This window comes from Homo sapiens, chromosome 4 (assembly GCF_000001405.40).
Source record: "Homo sapiens chromosome 4, GRCh38.p14 Primary Assembly".
Lineage (NCBI taxonomy): Eukaryota > Metazoa > Chordata > Mammalia > Primates > Hominidae > Homo > Homo sapiens.
Window position 1 is genome coordinate 86,471,602 of NC_000004.12, and position 22,250 is coordinate 86,493,851.

At 40.4% G+C, this 22,250-nt stretch overlaps 1 protein-coding gene across 5 annotated transcripts in view, besides 3 other annotated features; it reads right to left on the minus strand.

Moving 5' to 3' along the window:
- Nucleotides 1-22,250, minus strand: part of MAPK10 (mitogen-activated protein kinase 10) — a 583,670-nt gene that overhangs the window by 461,197 nt on the left and 100,223 nt on the right. The window lies entirely within an intron of this gene.
- Nucleotides 975-1,544: an enhancer, noted in NCBI's record as "OCT4-NANOG hESC enhancer chr4:87393729-87394298 (GRCh37/hg19 assembly coordinates)". NCBI's record gives its function as "activates a minimal SCP1, AML or CMV promoter by ChIP-STARR-seq in naive H9 embryonic stem cells {active_cell/tissue: H9 hESC(naive)}" and the evidence as "EXISTENCE:reporter gene assay evidence [ECO:0000049][PMID:30033119]".
- Nucleotides 5,369-5,869: an enhancer, noted in NCBI's record as "H3K27ac hESC enhancer chr4:87398123-87398623 (GRCh37/hg19 assembly coordinates)". NCBI's record gives its function as "activates a minimal SCP1, AML or CMV promoter by ChIP-STARR-seq in naive H9 embryonic stem cells {active_cell/tissue: H9 hESC(naive)}" and the evidence as "EXISTENCE:reporter gene assay evidence [ECO:0000049][PMID:30033119]".
- Nucleotides 11,203-11,959: an enhancer, noted in NCBI's record as "OCT4-NANOG-H3K27ac-H3K4me1 hESC enhancer chr4:87403957-87404713 (GRCh37/hg19 assembly coordinates)". NCBI's record gives its function as "activates a minimal SCP1, AML or CMV promoter by ChIP-STARR-seq in naive H9 embryonic stem cells {active_cell/tissue: H9 hESC(naive)}" and the evidence as "EXISTENCE:reporter gene assay evidence [ECO:0000049][PMID:30033119]".

Below are 22,250 nucleotides of genomic sequence, written 5' to 3' on the forward strand. Positions count from 1 at the left end.
TTTACCATGTTATCACTGTTGTTATGTATACCATACTTCAGATTTTGTGAAGATCAAATGAAGTACATTTGCAAGCATGCTGAAACATAGTTGGCTTAATTAAAATGCCTGAAAGATATTTTTTGCCTGCAGCAAAAATTGTTACTTAATTACTATAATGCATCTGCTATGTTTTCCTTTTTTTTCAACAAAGAGAAACCCAGGTGATTTCTGTGTACCTCTTTAATATGAAATCAGAGATGATGACTGTAGAAACTGAATGTATAAGTAAAATACTGAAACTCAGCGTAACCCAAAAATGTTGTCTTTTAATAAAATTACAGTCATTTGCTTTTTAAGAGTTTAGGGGTTTTGTTGTAGTTATTGAAAAAATTTCATACCAACATTCATCAGGAATAAACCAATTGCCATAATAAACTGATTACATGTACCAAATTGAGTTATAGTTCAGAAGACTAAAATTCATCATATATCAAATTCTAATATTATTTCAGCTGATTTAATCTTTAAATTGATGAACATTTCAAGTTAAAGAGTTTTCTGTTTGAAAAATAAAACATTGAGAAGCACACAAACATTTGATAATAAAATTTTATTTTAGTTCATTTAAATGCTTTTATTCAGTAGATTGATATTATGTATTCTACAATTTTACTTTCCTACAAAGTTTTTAAACTAGTAAGAGCAATTCTAAGTGGTATTTATGGATCTTGTTAAGAGATCTTCAAATACCGATGTGAATAATTATCCATTTGTGAACATCTAAGAAAAGTAGTTTGACACTGGATTCACACAATAAGGTTTAAAAAAAAATTACAGACTACAGAAAAAAGACAAAGCTGTGACCAGCCTGGGCAACATGGCAAAACCCCATCTCTACAAGAAATACAACAAAATTAGCAGAGCATGATGGTGCACACCTGTAGTCCCACTACTTGGGAGGGTGGTGGGAGGATCACTTGAGCCAGGCAGGTTGAGCCTGCAGTGAGCTGTGATCACACCACTGCACTTCAGCCTGTGCAACAGAGTGAGAAGCAAGATCCTGTCTCCAAAAAAAAAAAGTTGCAGAGTAGAAAGACAAGATAAGATTCTGAAATGTGTAAACTCATCATACAATAAACTGTATAGGGGTGAGGCAGGAAAATAGGGTCTGGAGGCAGGGGAACATAAGGTCAATTCACACTACAGCTGTAACAGGAAATATTCTCTCCACAGGGTGTATACTGTAAATGACTTTGTAACTCTACTTCATCCTCTTCATTTACACAGGGCGTACCCCAGGGAGAGGGTATTTAAACTCACAAAAACTCTGTAACAGGCCTTTTGAGCCCCTATGCTCAGGCCTGCTCCCACAGTGTGGAGTGTACTTTCATTTTCAATAGAACCTTTCATTCCTTCCTTGCTTTGTTTGTGCATTTTGTCCAATACTTTGTTCAAGACTCCAAGAACCTGGACACTCTCCACTGTTAACAGGGGGAGAAAATATTACCTGTTATTTTTCAGATGAAATAATGTCATTTCTGATTCACTTATATTTGAAAATAAAAATGTTTCTTTAGTTCTATTTAGGACCTGCAAAAATGAAATTTTTCTAAAAATTTTTGCTTAGAAATTGTGGTCTTAAAATATGTTGAAGCCACAAATACTGTATTTCTAGTTGGAGGTCAAAGCAGGGTTTATTTGAACAGATATCACATATCGACCTTAGGGAAAGTTACTTTAGAGCAGCAGGATTGAATTTTCAAAAAGAGGAAATGAATGACCTACTGTGAAGGTTCTCTGAATTACCAAAAATTTCATTCAAAATAGATTGAGTATAGAAAGGTTTTTTATTTAAAAAGAAAAAATTCTGGGAACTAAAGGCAGAAAGTACAGTAAGATTTACATAGCTGAGTCCAAGAATTGGAAAGAGATTAGGAAATAGTCTCTCTCTTCCTCCAGCCCCAGCCTAATTTTCTCTGCTACTCACATAGAGGCCCAAACACTGTGACTCCCTATTCCAGCAAATTCACCAACTCATGTGCCTTTCTGTATCCCAATTTTAAAACCGCATTAGAGAAAATCTAAACTGGTTCAACCCAGACAACACTTTGGCTCTCCTTGGTTCTAATGTCCACTAGTCCACTAGCTGAGGTCAGGGAGGGGTAGAAATTTGTAATATGTCTGTGACTACAGAAAATCATTCTTCTTTGAGAAAGGAAAGTTCCCAGAGAAGTGAGGTGATTCCAGCAGCCAGCAATGCTATATCCTCCAGGCATGAGAGTCTAGCTGGACGCTGTGGTTCATGCCTGTAATCTCAGCACTTTGGAAGTCTGAGATGGAAGGATAGCTTAAGGCCAGGAGTTCAAGACCAGCCCTGGCAACATAGTGAGACTTTGTCTCTACCAAAAAAAAAAGAATTATTAACAACTTCGTCCCACATACATTTCCACGCATATATATGTACTTTGTTATTCACAAATGGGATCATGCACCACATGTAACTTAGCAACTTGCTTTTTAAAGAAAACTTTACAGTGTGTCATGTATATATTTCCAACAGGGTTTCAGTTTTATTCATCTTTGGATACTTTTGGCATATCATTGGTGCACAATTTTTATTTGTTAGAAATGAATAAAGTAGCTATAAACTTACATTTGATTATTTTTATGGTTAATATGGAAAGTTCTAAAAGTTATTGGGAGCAATCTCCAGAGATGAATCAGTATTAATATAGCTTGTATATACATTAATTGAGACATCCTAAGGTTGAATCCATAGTGTTGAAATTAATACATGGCTTTAAAAAAAATTACCTATGTTTATATCATAAAATGAAACTCAAATGAAATATTTAAATTGGAGTTACTATTAACACAGACTTATCCATTGTCCTCCAAAAGCATAGAGAGGTCCGAAAGTTATTCAGCACTTTCAATTATAAATTGTCTTTGGCAAAATACACTGAGAAAATTTTCACACACCAAACATTATTCTACCAGTCTCTGAAAATGTTAATTTTTTTCTTCATCATCATACTTAACCACTTCAACCCACTGCACCCCAGTTTAGTTTACAAAGCTAGAAAATGAGCTGAAGGAAAAGTACTGACTAGCAGCTAATATAAAGTGAGCATTCCAGAGAAGCTTGACTGGCCATATAAATGAAGGAATTAATAAATGAGTGAACTGTCAGGCCTCTGAGCCCAAGCTAAGCCATCATATCCCCTGTGACCTGCACATATACATCCAGATGGCCTGAAATAACTGAAGAATCACAAAAGAAGTGATATTTAAATGGCCTGTTCCTGCCTTAACTGATGACATTCCACCACAAAAGAAGTGAAAATGGCCGGTCCTTGCCTTAAATGATGACATTACCTTGTGAAATTCCTTCTCCTGGCTCATCCTGGCTCAAAAAGCTCCCCGACTGAGCACCTTGTGACCCCCACTCCTGCCTGCCAGAGAACAACCCCCTTTGACTGTAATTTTCCTTTAGCTACCCAAATCTTATAAAACGGCCCCACTCCATCTCTCTTCACTGACTCTCTTTTCAGACTCAGCCCACCTGCACCCAGGTGATTAAAAAGCTTTATTGCTCACACAAAGTCTGTTTGGTGGGGTCTCTTCACACAGACACAAGTGAAATTTTGGTGCCATGACTCGGATCAGGGGACCTTCCTTGGGAGATCAATCCCCTGTCCTCCTGCTCTTTGCTCCATGAGAAAGATCTACCTACGACCTCGGGTCCTCAGACCGACCAGCCCAAGGAACATCACACCAATTTTAAATCCGGTAAGTGGCTTCTTTTTACTCTCTTCTCCAACCTCTCTCACTATCCCTCAACCTCTTTCTCCTTTCAATCTTGGCGCCACACTTCAATCTCTCCCTTCTCTTAATTTCAGTTCCTTTCCTTTCCTCGTAGAGACAGGAGACACGTTTTATCCGTGGACCCAAAACTCTGGCGCCGGTCACGGACTCGGGAAGACAGTCTTCCCTTGGTGTTTAATCATGCGGGGATGCCTGCCTGATTATTCACCCACATTTCAGAGGTGTCTGACCACATGGGGACGCCTGCCTTGGTCCTTCACCCTTAACGGCAAGTACTGCTTTTCTGGGGGGCAAGAACCTCCCAACCCCTTCTTCACCCTTAGCGGCAAGTACCGCTTTTCTAGGGGGCAAGAACCCCCCACCCCTTCTCTCCATGTCTCTACTCTCTCTTTTCTCTGGGCTTGCCTCCTTCACTATGGGCAGCCTTCACCCCTCCATTCCTCCTTCTCCCTTAGCCTGTGTTCTCAAGAACCTCTTCAACTCACACCTGACCTAAACCTAAACGCCTTATTTTCTTCTACAATACCGTTTGGCCCCAATACAAACTCGACAGTGGTTCCAAATAGCCAGAAAACGGCACTTTTGATTTTTCCATCCTACAAGATCTAGATAATTCTTATCATAAAATGGGCAAACGGTCCGAGATGCCTGACGTCCAGGCATTCTTTTACACATTGTTCCCTCCCTAGTCTGTTACCAATGTGACTTATCCCAGATCCTCCTTCTTTCCTTCCCACCTGTCCCCTCAGTCCCAACCCCAAGCATTGCTGAGTCTTTCTAATCTTCCTTTTCTACAGACCCATCTGACCTCTCTGCTCCTCACCAGGCCGAGCCAGGTCCCAATTCTTCCTCAGCTTCTGCTCCCCCACCCTATAATCCTTTTATCACCTCCACTCCTTCCACCCAGTCCAGCTTACAGTTTCGTTCTGTGACTAGCCTTCCCCCACCAGCCCAGCAATTTCCTCTTAAAAAGGTGGCTGGAGCTAAAGGCATAGTCAAGGTTAATGCTCCTTTTTCTTTATCTGACATCTCCCAAAATCAGTTAGTGTTTAGGCTCTTTTTCATCAAATATGAAAAACCCAGCCCAGTTCATGGCTCATTTGGCAGCAACCCTGAGACGCTTTAAAGCCCTAGACCCTGAAAGGTCAGAAGGCCGTCTTATTCTCAATATGCATTTTATTTTATTACCCAATCTGTTCCTGACATGAAATAAAGCTCCAAAAATTAAATTCTGGCCCTCAAACCCCACAACAGGACTTAATTAACCTCACCTTTAAGGTGTACAATAATAGAGTAGAGGCAGCCAAGTAGCAATGTATTTCTGAGTTGCAATTCCTTGCCTCCACTGTGAGACAAGCCCCAGCCACATCACCAGCATACAAGAACTCCAAACGCCTGAACCACAGCTGCCAGGGGTTCCTCTAGAATCTCCTCCCCCAGGAGCTTGCTACAAGTGCCAGAAATCTGGCCACTGGACCAAGGAATGCCCACAGCCCAGGATTCCTCCTAAGCCATGTCTCATCTGTGCGGGACCCCACTGAAAATCAGACTGTTCAACTTACCTGGCAGCCACTCCCAGAGCCCCTGGAACTCTGACCCAAGGCTCTCTGACTGACTCCTTCCCAGATCCTCTCGGCTTAGCAGCTGAAGACTGACACTGCCCGATTGCCTCAGAAGCCTACAGGACCATCACAGATGCTCTAGATAACTCTCACAGTGGAGGGTAAGTCCATCCCCTTCTTAATCAATACAGAGGCTACTCACTCCACATTACCTTATTTTCAAGGGCCTGTTTCCCTTGCCTCCATAACTGTCGTGGGTATTGACAGCCAGGCTTCTAAATCTCTTAAAACTCCCCAACTCTGGTGCCAATTTAGACAATACTCTTTTAAGCACTCCTTTTTAGTTATCCCCACCTGCCCAGTTCCCTTATCAGGCCAAGACACTTTAACTAAATTATCTGCTTCCCTGACTATTCCTGGGCTACAGCCACACCTCATTGCCACCTTTTCTCCCAGTTCAAAGCCTCCTTCACATCCTCCCCTTGTATCTCCCCACCTTAACCCACAAGTATAAGATACCTCTACTCTCTCCTTGGTGACCGATCATGTACCCCTACCATCTCATTACAACCTAATCACCCTTACCCTGCTCAACGCCAATATCCCATCCCACAGCACGCTTTAAAAGGATTAAAGCCTGTTATCACTTGCCTGTTACAGCATGGCCTTTTAAAGCCTATAAACTCTCCTTACAGTTCCCCCATTTTACCTGTCCAAAAACCTGACAAGCCTTACAGGTTAGTTCAGGATCTGCACCTTATCAACCAAATTGTTTTGCCTATCCACCCCATGGTGCCAAACCCGTATACTCTCCTATCCTCAATACCTCCCTCCACAACCCATTATTCTGTTCTGGATCTCAAACATGTTTTCTCTACTATTCCTTTGCACCCTTCGTCCCAGCCTCTCTTTGCTTTCACTTGGACTGACCCTGACACCCATCAGGCTCAGCAAATTACCTGGGCTGTACTGCCGCAAGGCTTCACGGACAGCCTCCATTACTTCAGTCAAGCCCAAATTTCTTCCTCATCTGTTACCTATCTCGGCATAATTATCATAAAAACACACGTGCTTTCCCCACCGATTGTGTCCAACTGATCTCTCAAACCCCACACCTTCTACAAAACAACAACTCCTTTCCTTCCTAGGCATGGTTGGATACTTTCGACTTTGGATACCTGGTTTTGCCATAACAAAACCATTATATAAACTCATAAAAGGAAACCTAGCTGACCCCGTAGATCCTAAATCCTTTCCCCACTCCTCTTTCCATTCCTTGAAGAGAGCTTTAGAGACTGCCCCCACCCTAGCTTTCCCTGACTCATCCCAACCCTTTTCATTACCCACAGCCAAAGTGCAGGGTTGTGCAGTCGGAATTCTTACACAAGAACCGGGACTACGCCCTGTAACCTTTTTATCCAAACAACTTGACCTTACTGTTTTGCCTAGCCCTCAAGTCTGTGTGCAGTGGCCACCACTGCCCTAATACTTTTAGAGGCCCTTAAAATTACAAACTATGCTCAACTCACTCTCTACAGTTCTCATAACTTCCAAACTCTATTTTCTTCCTCACACCTGACACATATACTTTCTGCTCCCCGGCTCCTTCAGCTGTACTCACTCTTTGTTGAGTCTCCCACAATTACCATTGTTCCTGGCCTGGACTTCAATCCGGCCTCCCACATTATTCCTGATACCACACCTGAGCCCCATGACTATATCTCTCTGATCCACCTGACATTCACCCCATTTCCCCATACTTCCTTCTTTCCTGTTCCTCACCCAGATCACACTTGGTTTATTGATGGCAGTTCCACCAGGCCTAATCGCAACACACCAGCAAAGGCAGGCCATGCTATAGTTCAAGCCACTAGCCTGCCTCTTAGAACCTCTGATTTCCTTTCCATCGTGGAAATCTATTCTCAAAGAAATAACTTCTCAGTCTTCCATCTGCTATTCTACTACTCCTCAGAGATTATTCAGGCCCCCTCCCTTCCCTACACATGAAGCTCAGGGATTTGCCCCTGCCCAGGACCGGCAAATTAGCTTTACTCAACATGCCCTGAGTCAGGAAACTAAAATACCTCTTGGTCTTGGTAGACACTTTCACTGGATAGGTAGAGGCCTTTCCCACAGGATCTGAGAAATGACCCACCACGGTCATTTCTTTCCTTCTGTCAGACAGAATTCCTCGGTTTGGCCTTCCCACCTCTATACAGTCCTGTAAGGGACCGGCCTTTATTAGTCAAATCACCCAAGCAGTTTCTCAGGCTCTTAGTATTCAGTGAACTAATGGTCTTTTAAAACCACACCTTACCAAGCTCAGCCACCAACTTAAAAAGGACTGGACAATACTTTTACCACTTGCCCTTCTCAGAATTCGGGCCTGTCCTTGGAATGCTACAAGGTACAGCCCATTTGAGCTCCTGTATAGACGCTCCTTTTTATTAGGCCCCAGTCTCATTCCAGACACTAGACCAACTTGGACTGCACCCCCCACCAAAAAAAAAAAAAAACTTGTCGTCCCTACTATCTTCTGTCTAGTCATACTCCTATTCACCATTCTCAACTACTCATAAATGCCCTGCTCTTATTTACACTGCCGATTTACACTGTTTCTCCAAGCCACCACAGCTGATGTCTCCTGGTGCTATCCCCAAACCGCCACTCTTAACTCCCTCTTAAAGTAAATAAATCATCTTTGCCGGCAGGGCTATGCTGAACTTCCTTAGGCACTCTCTAGTTAGATGTCCTAGGTCCTCCCAATTCTTACTCCTTTAATACCTGTTTTTCTCCTTGTCTTATTCCATTATTTTTTCAATTCCCACAAAATTGTATCCAGGCCATCACCAATAATTCTATAAGACAAATGTTTCTTCTAACAACCCCACAATATCCCCCCTTACCACAAAATCTTCCTTCAGCTTAATCTCTCCCACTCTAGGTTCCCACGCCACCCCTAATCCTGCTCGAAGCATCCCTGAGAAACATCGCCCATTATCTCTCCATACCACCCCCAAAAATTTTCGCCACCCCAACACTTCAACACTATTATGTTTTATTTTTCTTACTAATATAAGAAGACAGGAATGTCAGGCCTCTGAGCCCAAGCTAAGCCATCATATCCCCTGTGACCTGCACGTATACACCTAGATGGCCTGAAGTAACTGAAGAATCACAAAAGAAGTGATATTTAAATGGCCTGTTCCTGCCTTAACTGATGACATTCCACCACAAAAGAAGTGAAAATGGCCGGTCCTTGCCTTAACTGATGACATTACCTTGTGAAATTCCTTCTCCTGGCTCATCCTGGCTCAAAAATCTCCCCCACTGAGCACCCTGTGACCCCCCCACTCCTGCCCGCCAGAGAACAACTGCCTTTGACTGTAATTTTCCTTTACCTACCCAAATCTTATAAAATGACCCCACCCCTATCTCTCTTCACTGACTCTCTTTTCAGACTCAGCCCACCTGCACCCAGGTGATTAAAAAGCTTTATTGCTCACACAAAGCCTGTTTGGTGGTCTCTTCACACGGATGCGAGTGAAATGAACACCTTTTGACAGTTCTTCAGGAATCTTTGTAAATACTCCCTCCCACCCTGACACAAAATGAAGAAAAGAACATTTGGAATTAAAGATGATAAAATTTGTAGCCAAGGACTTTAACATTCAATTTCCATAACCCCTGCTGGAGTTCAATTTATTAGAGACAGTTTTGAGGCTGTAGGAGTGGAAAAGGTGATATCTTTCCTCATCCATCATAAGGGTTACAGCTGTCATTCTTGCAACAAAAGACAGGTTAAGAGAAAAGCATAACAAATTTATTTAATCAAAGTGTTATGTGACACAGGAGACTTCAGAAATGAAGATCGAAAGACCCAGGGAAAACTGTCAATTGTTATGCTTAGATTTGATAAAGAATGGCCAGCGATGTAGAAATATGATTAGACAAAAAGGGAATGATCTAACAGTAACACAATGAGGCAGGAAAACCAACAAGGCTGTCCATTCAGATTCTTCTTGGCCTTTCTGTGTAGGATTCCTTCAACCCAGGTATAGGACAAGACCTCTATAGAATGAGGATCTTATGACCTACAATCAGACAAAGCAAGTCAGAGAATTTCTATATTGCAAATTCCTTCCTAAACAGGAAACCAGTGGAAGGTTAGAATGATATTTCTAGGTTTTGTAGCTGTCTTTGGAGGAAAGAAGTTCTGGTTTCTATGGCTTACCGTGGGGAAGAAGAATTCTAGCTTCTATGACTTGCTTGGGGGAGAAAGTGAAGTGAGAGACAGGAGGGCAGGAGAAAATCAGAGAGACCTTGCTTCAGAGGCCTTCTAATCTCCTTGAGTTTAAGGCACCAATCAGCATACTAAAGCACCTTACTTTGGGGTATTGTTTTTTGAACCCCAACATGGCCACAGATTTTTAACTGAAAGTTGTGAAAGTGGAGGAAAAAAAAAAAAAAAACCATTGCCACTATTATTCCCATCCTCTAAAATTCTGTTTCTACACCATGTAGCCATGCAATCCCTCTTGCTTACCTCTTAATTAGTCTCCACTAAAAATATTTGGTATTGTTCTCATCCATTATTTGAGTGTTGACCCTAGCTGTGACACATAATGAACTGTTCCAGAAATGTTTCCCCAGTAGTGAGTTAAGTGCTTACAGAGATTTACTTGTTCTCTAGGCTGAGCAACCACTTAGTCCATTACAATGAAAAGAGATTTAAAGGCAAGTACGTACTGCTAGAAACAGGTGCCTAAGAATGTAGTTGTCTTACAATTTTAAGAAGGCAAGAAATTCAAATTAACCCCATGAAATCATCTAATGGAAACTGCCAATCTGACAAGCAAAACAATGCATACTTTCTATTTAACTCTGGACTGCTTGATTTCTCTAAGTTCTCAGCACTTTGAGTTATTTTTCTTAACTGTTTTAAAGTCAAGTAGGAGTAAATCATGGGATTTTAGTAATTCTAAAGGAAAAGCCACTGGAAAGAATAACCGTAATACAAGACCAGGGAAAACAGTGCAGTTTATTAGAAATCAAACTTTTCAAGAAATTTATAATTGATTTTATAATACAATGAAGTACAACATTTCAAAAAGAGGATACATTTTAAGTGATTTCATGTTGGCCTTGTTTATCCATGAAAACTCTTACAAGTTTCATAAATTTTAAAATAAGCATTTTAATTCCTGAATTCTACACTCCTGCCTAGCTCATTTGTAGGGGAACAGGACATGCAGACATTGTTTTATATTTCTTAAATTCTTCCCTGCACCTAATAGAGCAGTAGGTGATTATGAATTGTGAGGTGAGATTTTTTTAATGTTGCCAAAAACTTAGTGTTACTGGATTTCATTTCAAACAATAGTCAGTCCACCAACATAAATCTTGCTTGTAGAATGAAATGCTGTGTTAAGTCAGTGCCCCAAATACCACACTCCTCTTTTCCTTTTCATCTTGCTCTTTTTCTAGTTACGTGCCATGATTTGAAGGATGGTGGGGGGATGCAGAGGGAGGAAGAAAGGGACATAGAAACAGAGACAAAGACAGAGAGCTCCTGCCGTTGTGAAAAATATGCCTTGTTCCAACAATGAGAAATTGTTGATTGACTTGCCTCTTCCCATAAGCACTGTTTTGACAAAAATGAGCAGAAGCATCTATGAATTATGAAGGACTAGCTCAGTAAAGTTTGGAACTAAATTGAAGCATATCATAATCATATTCCTCACCATTAAAACTGTTCATCCTGCCAGAATGTGTTGTTGCATGAGGCCCAAGAGAATCAGGCACAGAATTCTAGCACTCTAGGTTATGGCTAATGAAAAATGAAAGTAAGAAAATTAAGATAAATCACTGCCACCTAACAGAGATTTGAGTATATTCCATTCTGGCTCACCTAATTTTTTTCCCTCTTTTCTCATTTATTTTTTGTGTTAGGCATACAACATTTAGCTTTCCAAAGAGCTGATTGTAGGATTTAGACAGAGAGAGAAAGAATTGCAGCTGTCACAGCAGGGGTTAAATGTGCAAATGCCTGCAGCAATTCACTTCTTTGACTAAGCTGTCAAAACATTTAAATTGTGTCCCTGTAGTTCCTCTCTTCCTCTTCTACCGTCTCCCCAGCAGGGGCTGCCAGCACTGAATCTTTGTCAAAAGAGAAGATGTCGTCACATTGGTAAACCGTACCCCTCTAAAAGGATTTCCAACTTTCTTTGTGTTGATTGTCATGTTTATTTCTTTATGTCTTTTCTGCAGAATCCTCACCGATTCTTCTCAGCTTGAATTAGTTGAAATGCCCATATTTTAGGTCAGTTAACAACTTAACAAAAGACACTGCATTTGATTATGAGTGTGCTTAAAAAAAAATCCAAAAACTGGAAACTTTCACTTAGGAAAATAATGAAAGCAAGCAGAATGCAGAATCACTTTATAATTACTTCTACTGATAAGTAAGAATATAGAACAAACTAGAGAGACTTCATGAAACGTGCAAATTCTGAAATATGTTCAAAGAAACAAAGGGCAGAAAGACCGCTAAGCCGCAAACATCACGCTATAATTAATAAATAATAAATATTATTAAAATGGAATATATAATATTTATACAAAAATTATTAAAACATTGGACAATATTTATCGAACACCTGCTAAGAACCAGATTCTATACCTCCAATTATTGCATTTAGTCCTCACACATCAAGCATTCATTGCCTGACTACCCTGCTAAGTCTTGGAATATCAAAACTAAAGTCTCTACCCTCTAACAGCTCACAGTCTAGCAGGGAAAAAAGATGAGTAAACAATCATGAAATGAGATTAGATGGATGTATGCACACTTACAACAGCATCTGAGAAAGGACAACCTTTCTATGATTGAGGGCTTTATAAAAGAAGAGGGGGAGGGGAAGATCCAAAGATTAAAGAATAAGAGGTAGCCAGAAGACAAATGTTGGAATAGGAGCAAGAGAAGGAAGGACAGTTTTCCAGGCCAAGAGAGCAGGCTTCCAAAGGCAGAGATTTATGGGAGAGCAATGCACTTCAGGGGAGCCACAGCAGTTGTATTATTAAAGCTCAAGCTGGAAGATGAGGGGAGGAAGCAAGTAATGGAGGCTTGGTATTCCATGATAAGGAGTGTGGGCTTTATCCTTGAAGCCGAGAGAATTTAACAGGATGTTTAAACGGAGTGGCTAAAGGATTATATTTTTAACCTAGAAATAACAAGAATAAATATCCTTTATTGAGTGCTAATGGGCGCCATTCACTTTATATAATTCATTCTTATTTAACTCCCATTATCACATTACAAGCAAGTGTTATTATCCTCATTTTGCAGATAACTGATGCTCAAAACTTTAAATAACTTGTCCAAGTTCATCTAGCAGCTAAGAACGGAGGCAAGCTTTCGTAATGTTCTCACTTTCTCATCCTGTCTCTCCTAGTAGTTGTGGTTGTGTGGTTAACAGCAGGTGTTATGGAGGCCAACTGACTAGGCTTGAATTCCTTGATACTTTACTTGCTTTGTGACTCTGTGCAAGTTGTAATCATTTTATCATCTGGAAAATGGGGATAATAAAATCCACCCAAAGATAAATGAGGTAGTACACATTAAGCAGTTAGCACAACACCCAGCACATAATTTAATGCTACCCATTATGATGCTAGACCAGGCATTATGCTTGAGCACATTTTTGACATCTATCTAATCTTTATGTGAACCAGACAAAATGTGGGTATTATTATGTTTATTTTACAGATTTAAAAAAAAACTGAAACTTAAAGAAATTAAGTTACTTGCAGAAAGACATATAACTAAGTGACAGAGCTGCTTCTGCTCCAAAGCCCACACTGTTTCTTATAACACAGAATATACTGCACCGGTCTCTTGTGTACTACAGAGAATAAATTTAAAGGCAGTAAGACAGAAAGCAGGGGGAGTGTATTTAAGAGGCTTCTGTAAAAGTCTAAGAGAGAGCAGTCAGGAGTCTGAATTAAATAAGTGGTTATGTGTAGTAAGATATGTCAGATAAGAGATATTTACAAGGTCGGATGAATAGGACTAGGTGGCAGATTAGATGCTGGGAAGCAAGGAAGAGAGCTCAAGAGGACTTTCTGGTTTTTGGTTTGGGTCACCATAATTTCCCTGTTACCCCCACCTCCCTTTTACTTTTTTCTTCTTCCCCCACTTAACCTTTAGCCTTCCATTAGATCCCAGCATGAAGATCATCTTACTGGAGATGCCTTCCCCAACCACACTAAATTGATCAGTTCCCTCCTCTTACACTTTCTTATATGTATATTCTTGGGAGCACAATTGTAGTGTAATTTTTACATGTTTAAAATTTTTTAAATATAATATTTGACTTTTTGATTAATGTCAGACTCCCTCAGTTGACTCTAAGCCCTAGGAACATATCCTTTTTCAGTTTTCCTCCTCACCACTGTATCTCCTATGTCTAGCAAAGTGCATTATCCTTAATAGGTGTTTAATAAATAATATTTGGATAAGTAAATTAATGAATGATCAGATGAATTGTGAAAGAATGAATATGCAAATAGTTAAACAAGGAAGGAAATAAACCAAAAGGAATCAGGAGTCTTAATGAGTTTCAAAAGAAGTTCCAAGAGCTTCATCAGAGAAAGAATGAGAAAGCTGGAAAGACAGTAGATGGTATAGACTGAACTGTGCCATTGCAAAATTCATTTGTTGAACCCCTCAACTCCATTGACTGTATTTGGAGATAAGGTCTGTAAAGAGATAATTACAGTTACACAGGCCTCAAGGGAAGGGCCTTAATTCAATAGGACTATTGTCCTTATAAGCTGAGAAAAAGACAACAGAGTTCACGCATAGAGAAAAGGCCATGTGAGGACATAGTGAAAGGCAGCCATTTGCAAGCCAGGAAAAGAGGCCTAACCAGAAACCAACCCTCCTGGCACCTTTATTGTGAACTTCCAGCCGCCTGAGAAGTGAAAAATAAAATTCTGCTATTTAAGCCCTCCAGTCTGTGGTATTCTGTCATGGCAGCCCAGGCCAACTAATATGGTAGGCCATAAATTTTAGATTTGGGGAGATGATGTAGGAGAGGGGAAAACCCTAAAACTGAATAGACACAGTCACAAATTAACTGTATTTTATTAAATAATCACATGGAAAGTTGGGTGTGGTGGTGCCCACCTGTAGTCCCAGCTACTCGGGAGGCTGAGGCAGGAGGATCACTTGAAGCAAGAAGTTTGGATTGTACTGGGCCATTATCACACTTGTGAATAGCCACTGCACTCCAGCCAGGGCAACACAGCAAGACTCAATCTCTAAAACATACATACATACATACACACATGCATAACCACACTGGGGAGTAGAGAAGGATAACTACCATACAGAAGAAAAAGAAAAAGAGAAGCAATGCAAGTAACTTTTGATCACATGATTTTGACAATATACCCACAATCTAGGGAACAAAAGAACTGCAAACAAATCTTGAATTTTTTCTAGTAAGTTTATTTTTCATTGAGATATGGGTATAGCAATTGTGAAACTACTTTATGGGTATCATAATATTGAGAAAATGAATAATGTGATTATGTTCTTGGGTGCCAGGTTCTAAATGACTGTGGAAAAAGAAAGATAAAAATATGGCATGAGGTTAGGCAAAGAAAACTCTGCAACTATCATAATAAAGATTGATTCAGAAAAGAATTATCTTTGGATGCAAAGTCCAGGGGGAAAAGTTAGATGAGGAACAGGATATGTACGCAGTCCCAAAGTGTCTCCCCACAGATTGTTTAGTGGTTGAAAGAGGGAAATAGTAACTATATGGTGGAGAAACCAAACAACATCTTGATGAGGTGATTGAATTAACATCACCAGTGAGGGGCAGACAGACACTATGTGCCTGAAACACAGTACTCTGAGAAGGACAAATCACTGATGTCTTATGCAGCAAGAAAGGCACGATCTGAGCCTAATCATCAAGAAACATCAGACAAACCCAAAGTGATGAACATTCTGTCACATAGCCGTCTTATATTTGAAAATATCAGTGTCATGAAAGATACGGAAAAGCTAAGGAAATCTTCCAGATTTGGGTACTGAAGACATGAGACAGTCGATTGCAATGCAGGATCCTATGCTGGATTCTGTACTGGAAGGGGAAAATGCCATAACAGACATGATTAGGGCAATTTGCAAATTAGATTATGGAGTATGGAGTGGAAAAAGTATTGTTTCAATGTTAAATTTTATAAATTTGACAACTGTATTATGGTAATGTAAGAGGATACCTTTTTTTCTTAGGAAATACACAATAAAGGACTAAGAGGTAAGAGGGAATGATTGCAAGCTATCTAAAATAGTTCATAAAAGAGAGAGAGAGAGTGTGTGTGTGTGTGTGTGTGTAGAGAGAGAAAGAAGGAGTATAATAAAGCAAAGGTAACAAAGTGTCAAAAATTGTTAAATCTGGGCCGGGTGCGGTGGCTCACACCTGTAATCCCAGCACTTTGGGAGGCCGAGGTGAGTGGATCACGAAGTCAGGAGATCAAGACCATCCTGGCTAACACAGTGAAACCCCGTCTCTACTAAAAATACAAAAAAAATTAGCCAGGCATGGTGGCAGGTGCCTGTAGTCCCAGCTACTTGGGAGGCTGAGGCAGGAGAATGGTGTGAACCTGGGAGGCAGAGCTTGCAGTGAGCTGAGATAGTGCCACTGCACTCCAGCCTGGGCAACAGCACGAGACTCTGTCTCAAAAAAAAAAAAAAAAAAATTGTTAAATCTGAATAAAGAGTAAATGGGACTCCCTATCTTTCAACCTTTCTATAAGTTTAAAATTATTTCAAAATACAACTTAAAATAAAATCAAAAGAACAAATAAAAAAGATAAGAGGTGAAGGAGTTCTGAGTGGTGTAAAGTTTTAGGCCTTGATGTTAAGGTAGATTGCACAATAGTCTGAGAGAGAGAGATTATTGTCCTCATTTTACTGAGGAGAAATTGGGACTCAGAGGCCTCAAGGTCTGATGCTACCTAGAGGACAGCAGAGGAGAAGAGAGGAGAGGAGGCCCAGATGGGGAGAGAATGAGGCAAGTTTTTCCCTCAGCTCCACTTGCCGTCTTAATTCAATCCCTTGACAGATTAGCTCACTGAAGGAAAAGCAGCTCCCTCACACCATTCCCCCACCTCCTCCCATATCTGAAATGATGCTCTGCTCAGATCATTAATCATCTCATTAAGGCTCTAGCAAGCACAATTCAGTAATATTGGCCACAGACATTATCCTTTTATTCTCTCGACACAGCTGATGAAAAAGAACCTATTGTAAGATGTCCCCGGTTTTTCACAACAGTAAGGGAAATGATACCTTTTCATCAATGTATAGTTCCAGCTTCAATAAGCATTGTTCCTGGTTTCCTCAAGCCCCTTGTGCAAAGTTTTATGAGTTGGATAATATCCCCTTACCCAATTTTCCCATCCAGATATTGGGAGGGTAATATCAGAACTAGATTACTGGATTGAGTTGAAATAATATTTAAGGCTGTCTTGGGCAACATTTTAAAATTTTCTTATGATATGTATCCTCTAATCACCCACACTCCTTTCTTCTATTAGTTTTTCCCTTTCCCAGTGATTTTTGATGCTAACTGTGGTTTCTGAATCTGCCTGTAGATACCTCCAGAGTTCTTTGCACTACACAATGGCACAGAGACCATGTTAGGACAGTCCCAGAAAGGCTCCGAAGTAGACAAAGATGATCGGTACTGCCCACCCTTCCCCATTTCTGCACCTCTCTCTTCCATCATCTTCAAACTGCAGTCCTCACCTCAGCCTAGAATCCTAGAGTAAGTGGTAAAAATAACCTCAGATTCTTTCCTTCCCTGTGGCAGTGTAGCTCCTCCCATCAAGAGATACCTTTTGAATCTGGGTTTGGCCACAGGACCGGCCAAATGTGACATTAGCAAAGATGCAGCAGAGGCTTGAAAAGTGTTTGCGCATTCGGGCTTGTTCTCTTGCTGCACCTGGAAACTTGAAACCAGCACTTTTCAGTCCAGTGTTAATGTGGAGGCCACTGGAGGAGAACCAAGATACTCTAGCCAACAGCCACCTGACATCTGAGGGAAGCCATACAGGACCAGCCAACCCCTAGCTGACCCAATAACTTATCCAGAAGCAGCAGATGACTACAGACTCATGAGTAAACCCAGCTAAGCCGGGACAACCACCACACTGATCCCATACCTTAATTGTGAGCTAAATAATGACTGCCATTTTAAGCCAGTAAGTCTTGGGATAATTATTTATGCAGTAATAGATAACTAATTATAGACTCAAGTATCTCAAAGTAGGCGCTGCTCTCCTCCTACCTCCTGGCTGTCCGTCTTCATCCCAGTGTCACCCACTCCCCACCGAAAGGCTGATCTTTTCTCCACCATCAAAACTCATTTGTTTCATATGTTTTGGGACCTCAAAATCCTTGACTAAACTGATAAACTAATATGAATTAGTGATGTAATTGAAGTGTAATAAATAAGATAGCACACTCAGTCTCCAAAAACAGGCCCCAAAATAAGCCTCCTCACCTCCTTATTCTTTCACTTGTGCAGCATTCTAACCGATACCAAAAAGGAAAAGGATTTCTCCTAAAGTAGTATTTTGAGAATTCATGGGTTTGTCCCTTTTTTTTCTCCTCTCAAGGAACAAAAGCACCCATCATTATATCCCCTAGAGCTAGAGTCTTCTCAAATGTACCCAGGCTAAGAAGTCACTGCTCTAACTCCGTCTCATCTCCTCTCCTCTAGTCAATCCTGAATGGTTTCTGAACAAGTTGATTAATCTTTCTCCATCAAAATTAATCTTTCTCCACCAAAATCCACACATCCTGAGTCTCTTCCAACTCATTCTCTGAACACTTAAGCTCTTCAAAGGGCCCTTTTTTCTGTTCCACTCTCAGTAGTCAGTCCCCCCATCTCCAGCATCATGGTCTAACCAAGCCCTCCAAATAACAAGCCAAGTATGGTTCACATACTCCCAATACATTAGCAAAACACAAAATATTCGTTTTGCCCACAAAACTTTCCTCCTGGCTATTCTACTGTTGTTTTTTCCTAGTTAAATTCATACAATAAATAGTGTATCTGCTTGTTCTTAAATTGATCCACTCATTCAGGAAATATTAATTGAGTAGTTATGCCACTGAGAAGCTCCTTTCTCCTATTCCTATGATTCCAAGAGTAAGAACTACTGCAACAGTAGTATCTTTGGTCTCCCTCCCCACATTCCTTCATTCCTCCTAAGGGAAAGGAATTAAGTCTATTATTGTAGACTTGAGGAGAAAGAATTGAGCAAGCTTGACAGAGGCTTTTCTGGGCCTCACTTCTTCACAACTGTTGGTCCAGGGAGGGCATCCTGGTTGACTCTGTACTATGTGGTAAGCGTATGGGCCAAGTTCTAGCCCTATAAGGAGAATCCTACTACTTTGAAAAGTAAATTCAATTAATGCGAGATCAGATGGCCCATCCATGCAATATACTCTAATTCAACTTTTACAAAATTTAAAGAAACAAAAACAAAAACTCCCTTCTATTTTGATCTCTAGAGTCACCCCACAAAAAGGCACTGGCCTGAGAGACAAGTAGGGACTAAAGTCCAGCCCAGCTTCTGCACACCAAGCCAGTTCCCTGGTACCTTCCTTCTAATTCACCCACGCAGAGACAGTTCTTTACAATCATCTTCCAGGAGTGGGTGTTTTCTTCTAATTCATATGCTCAAATGAAAAGAAAGGAGGTGGCTTTTCTAATCTAAACAAAGGTAACTTATGTGCTAACAGCAGCCTGTTGATTGCCAGCTATCTGATTCCCGTGTCTATCTACCAGTCAGCTCCAACTTAAGAAGGAAAGCAAGGATGATTTATTTAGCTCCTAAACCTTACATACTACTATGTACCAGATACTGTGTTAGGTACTGGGGAAAAAAGGATGAGTAATACAGAGTCGCTGACTTTAAAAACGTGCTATCTAGCTAAATTCCCTCAGTCCTCAAAACTAGCTAGTTAGCTTGTTTGTTTTGTATAAAGATGTGATCTACTGTGGGCAAAAGTCTGGATTCTTGGCTATCCCATGCATGGGAGACATGAGTTGAGCTGTGTGGATCAGAGGCCGGAGCAAAGTATGGCAGTCAGAGTAGCAGTGCTGTGATGGATGAAAGCATCCCACAGACACAGGCAAAGGATACAAGTTCCTCAAATGTAGGTGCAACAAAATTGACTTTGCACACAGACAGCTCCACAGGGCAGGAAGGACAGTGGCACTCCCAGAGTGAGGGGCAAGCACACCTGTCCAACAAGTGCATCACATGGTTGATGGTACCAGAGTACCTGCTCAGGATTAGATCCTGCCAGGACCCTCAAGCCGCTCCCTTTGCCATTGCAGTGGAGCTTTGTTATACCCTCATGACCCCAACCCCAGTTCTGAAGATTGTGACTATGAACCTACATGCTCACCAGAGTTAAAAACTCCAGACACTCCTCTTTACTGCAAGGCTGGGTGAATCAAAATATCTGGTTTCGCAGGATATTATCTCCTAGCAGCTCTGGCTCCAGCACTTTGATATAGGGATTATTTTCCCCTTAGGTCTCATCACCTGGTAAGAAAGACTCTAAATCGAAGCATATAGGTCCATTCGGGATATCAGTTAATAATCCATTTTTATTTCCCAGTAGGAAAATGTGTCACTTTAATGCCTAAACTTTAAAACAAGTGTTTGTTAGTTGTTGTTTTTGCTGATTTCTTATTATTTTATTCTATAGTTTTTCAAGCATATACAAGTATTTTTATTTTTCCTAACAGCAAAAGAAAACTGGTGTGTGTGTGTGATTATTTTATTTTATTTTTTTAGCTTACATAAAGGCTAGAGACTGTGCCTAGGTATGAATTTCCTCTCCAGTTTCTAACTCAGGTCTCTTCCTTTCCAGCAAGTATTCTTAACAACAAAAAGAAAAAAATGATATAGTCCCAATGAATAGGTTACTTCATTCAATTTTTCTGCAGACAGCGGTTTGTTAATAACTAGCACCTCTGCTTTTTCTTAATAACAGTAGAGAAGTTTGATTTAGACATTCAGATATGAAATGACTAAATTTGTTCTCAAAATTGGAGTATGTGAGTTTTTTCTAAGGGTAAGAGAAGTAAGAATACTGTCTTCAGATTCAAGGTGCAATGCTAAAATAGCAGTTACCCAGAAGGTAGGTCTCGAGAAGGAATGATAAGAGTTAGGATCCTGTAACACCAGCAGACAATTCAGTACAGGAAAAGCAGGGTTTTATGAAGCATTTAACTCAGGAGCTGTGGACAATTCTTTCTGTTCTCCTTTTCCCTTCCCTAAGTAAATATCTGATGCTTGGGCATCCTGTATGAATAGAATACACATTCCCTATTCTTCTTGCCAAATAAAAATATTCCTCTATCCTTGTTAGTTCTGCAGCAAAATGGTTTCAGTGTCTAGGCTTTGGAGCTAGACTCCGTGAGTTCAAATTCTTGCACCATCATACATGTGAGCTCTATGACCTTGGCAAGTCACTTGATTTCAGTAGGCCTTAGTTTTCGTATTTGTAAAGTGAGAATAATTTTTGCTTATTTCCCAGGGTGGAGATTAAATGAGATAATTAATGTAAAATATTTAACAAAGTTCTGGGAGCATAGCAGGTGCTCAATAACGGTATATGTTCTCCTGATCTAAAATTACCATGGTGGATGAAATTTCCCAAGGTGACCTTGATTTTTAAAAAATTTGGACTCACTGTAGGACTGTATGTTTTGCTTTTGGGTTTGGGAAATATGCTGACAATACCTATTACTTCTGGAAATGAAGGCACCCAAAAACTGTAATTTAAAAATGAATGGTATGTATGAGGGGTGTTAAAGCAAACTAAATATGGCCTGAGAAGGACTCCGTAATTCTATATTTGAGTCCTTGTGGATGAACTGTAACCTAGCTTAATAGTCAGACAAAATTGAAAACCTAACTTAGTAGTATGCACCTGTGACAAGAGCTGAGTGTTAGCCAATCCCAGTGGCCATACTTCAACCATTCATAGACTGCTGAATGTTCAAACTGCGTTCAAATAAGGCAAACGCTGAGTTGTAACCAATCTCACTGTTTCTGTACCTCACTTCCGATTCCTGTACGTCACTTTTTTTGTCTATAAATTTGTTCTCACCAGAAGGCACCCCTGGAGTCTCTGTGAATCTGCTGTGATTCTGAGGACTGCCTGATTTGCGAATCGTTCATTGCTCAATTAAACTCCTTTAAATTTAATTTGGCTGAAGTTTTTCTTTTATCAGGGGTGTCCTAGTAAGTTATTATTTGTTCAGTCGATCTTAACTCCTTATGCTAGATTAATTTATCTGCACACAGAAAAGCAAATTTTAAAAGGTCTCTCGTATATTCTAGGTAGTTATTCTAGATCCTTTTCTTTATTGCATTTCCCTTTCTCCATTTGTTTTTAGATTTAATTTGGGCTGTCTTTACTTTGTCCTGGATTCTAGAATCTACTCCACTTTGAAATTGGCTTCTGGCTGCTTCAGATGTGATAACCTTCAGGACAGCCTTTCTGTCATTTTGGGCCTTAGCACATTTAGCTCACCCTCCCCCTTCACTCCTACCCTGCCTGGAAGGAAGCCCTATGGTTAGGAAACCCCACTTCCTCATGCTTTTCTCTTTAGTTCTAAGAATCTCCCTGTGAATGGTTGCTATGGTTGATGAAGACACAGATAGTTTTATCAGCATCCCTGCTTGCCTGGAGGTTTTTAAATTGTTAATGTTTTAAAAAAAGAGCATGTATATGTGTTTGTGGTCCCTTCTACCTTTCTTTTTCCA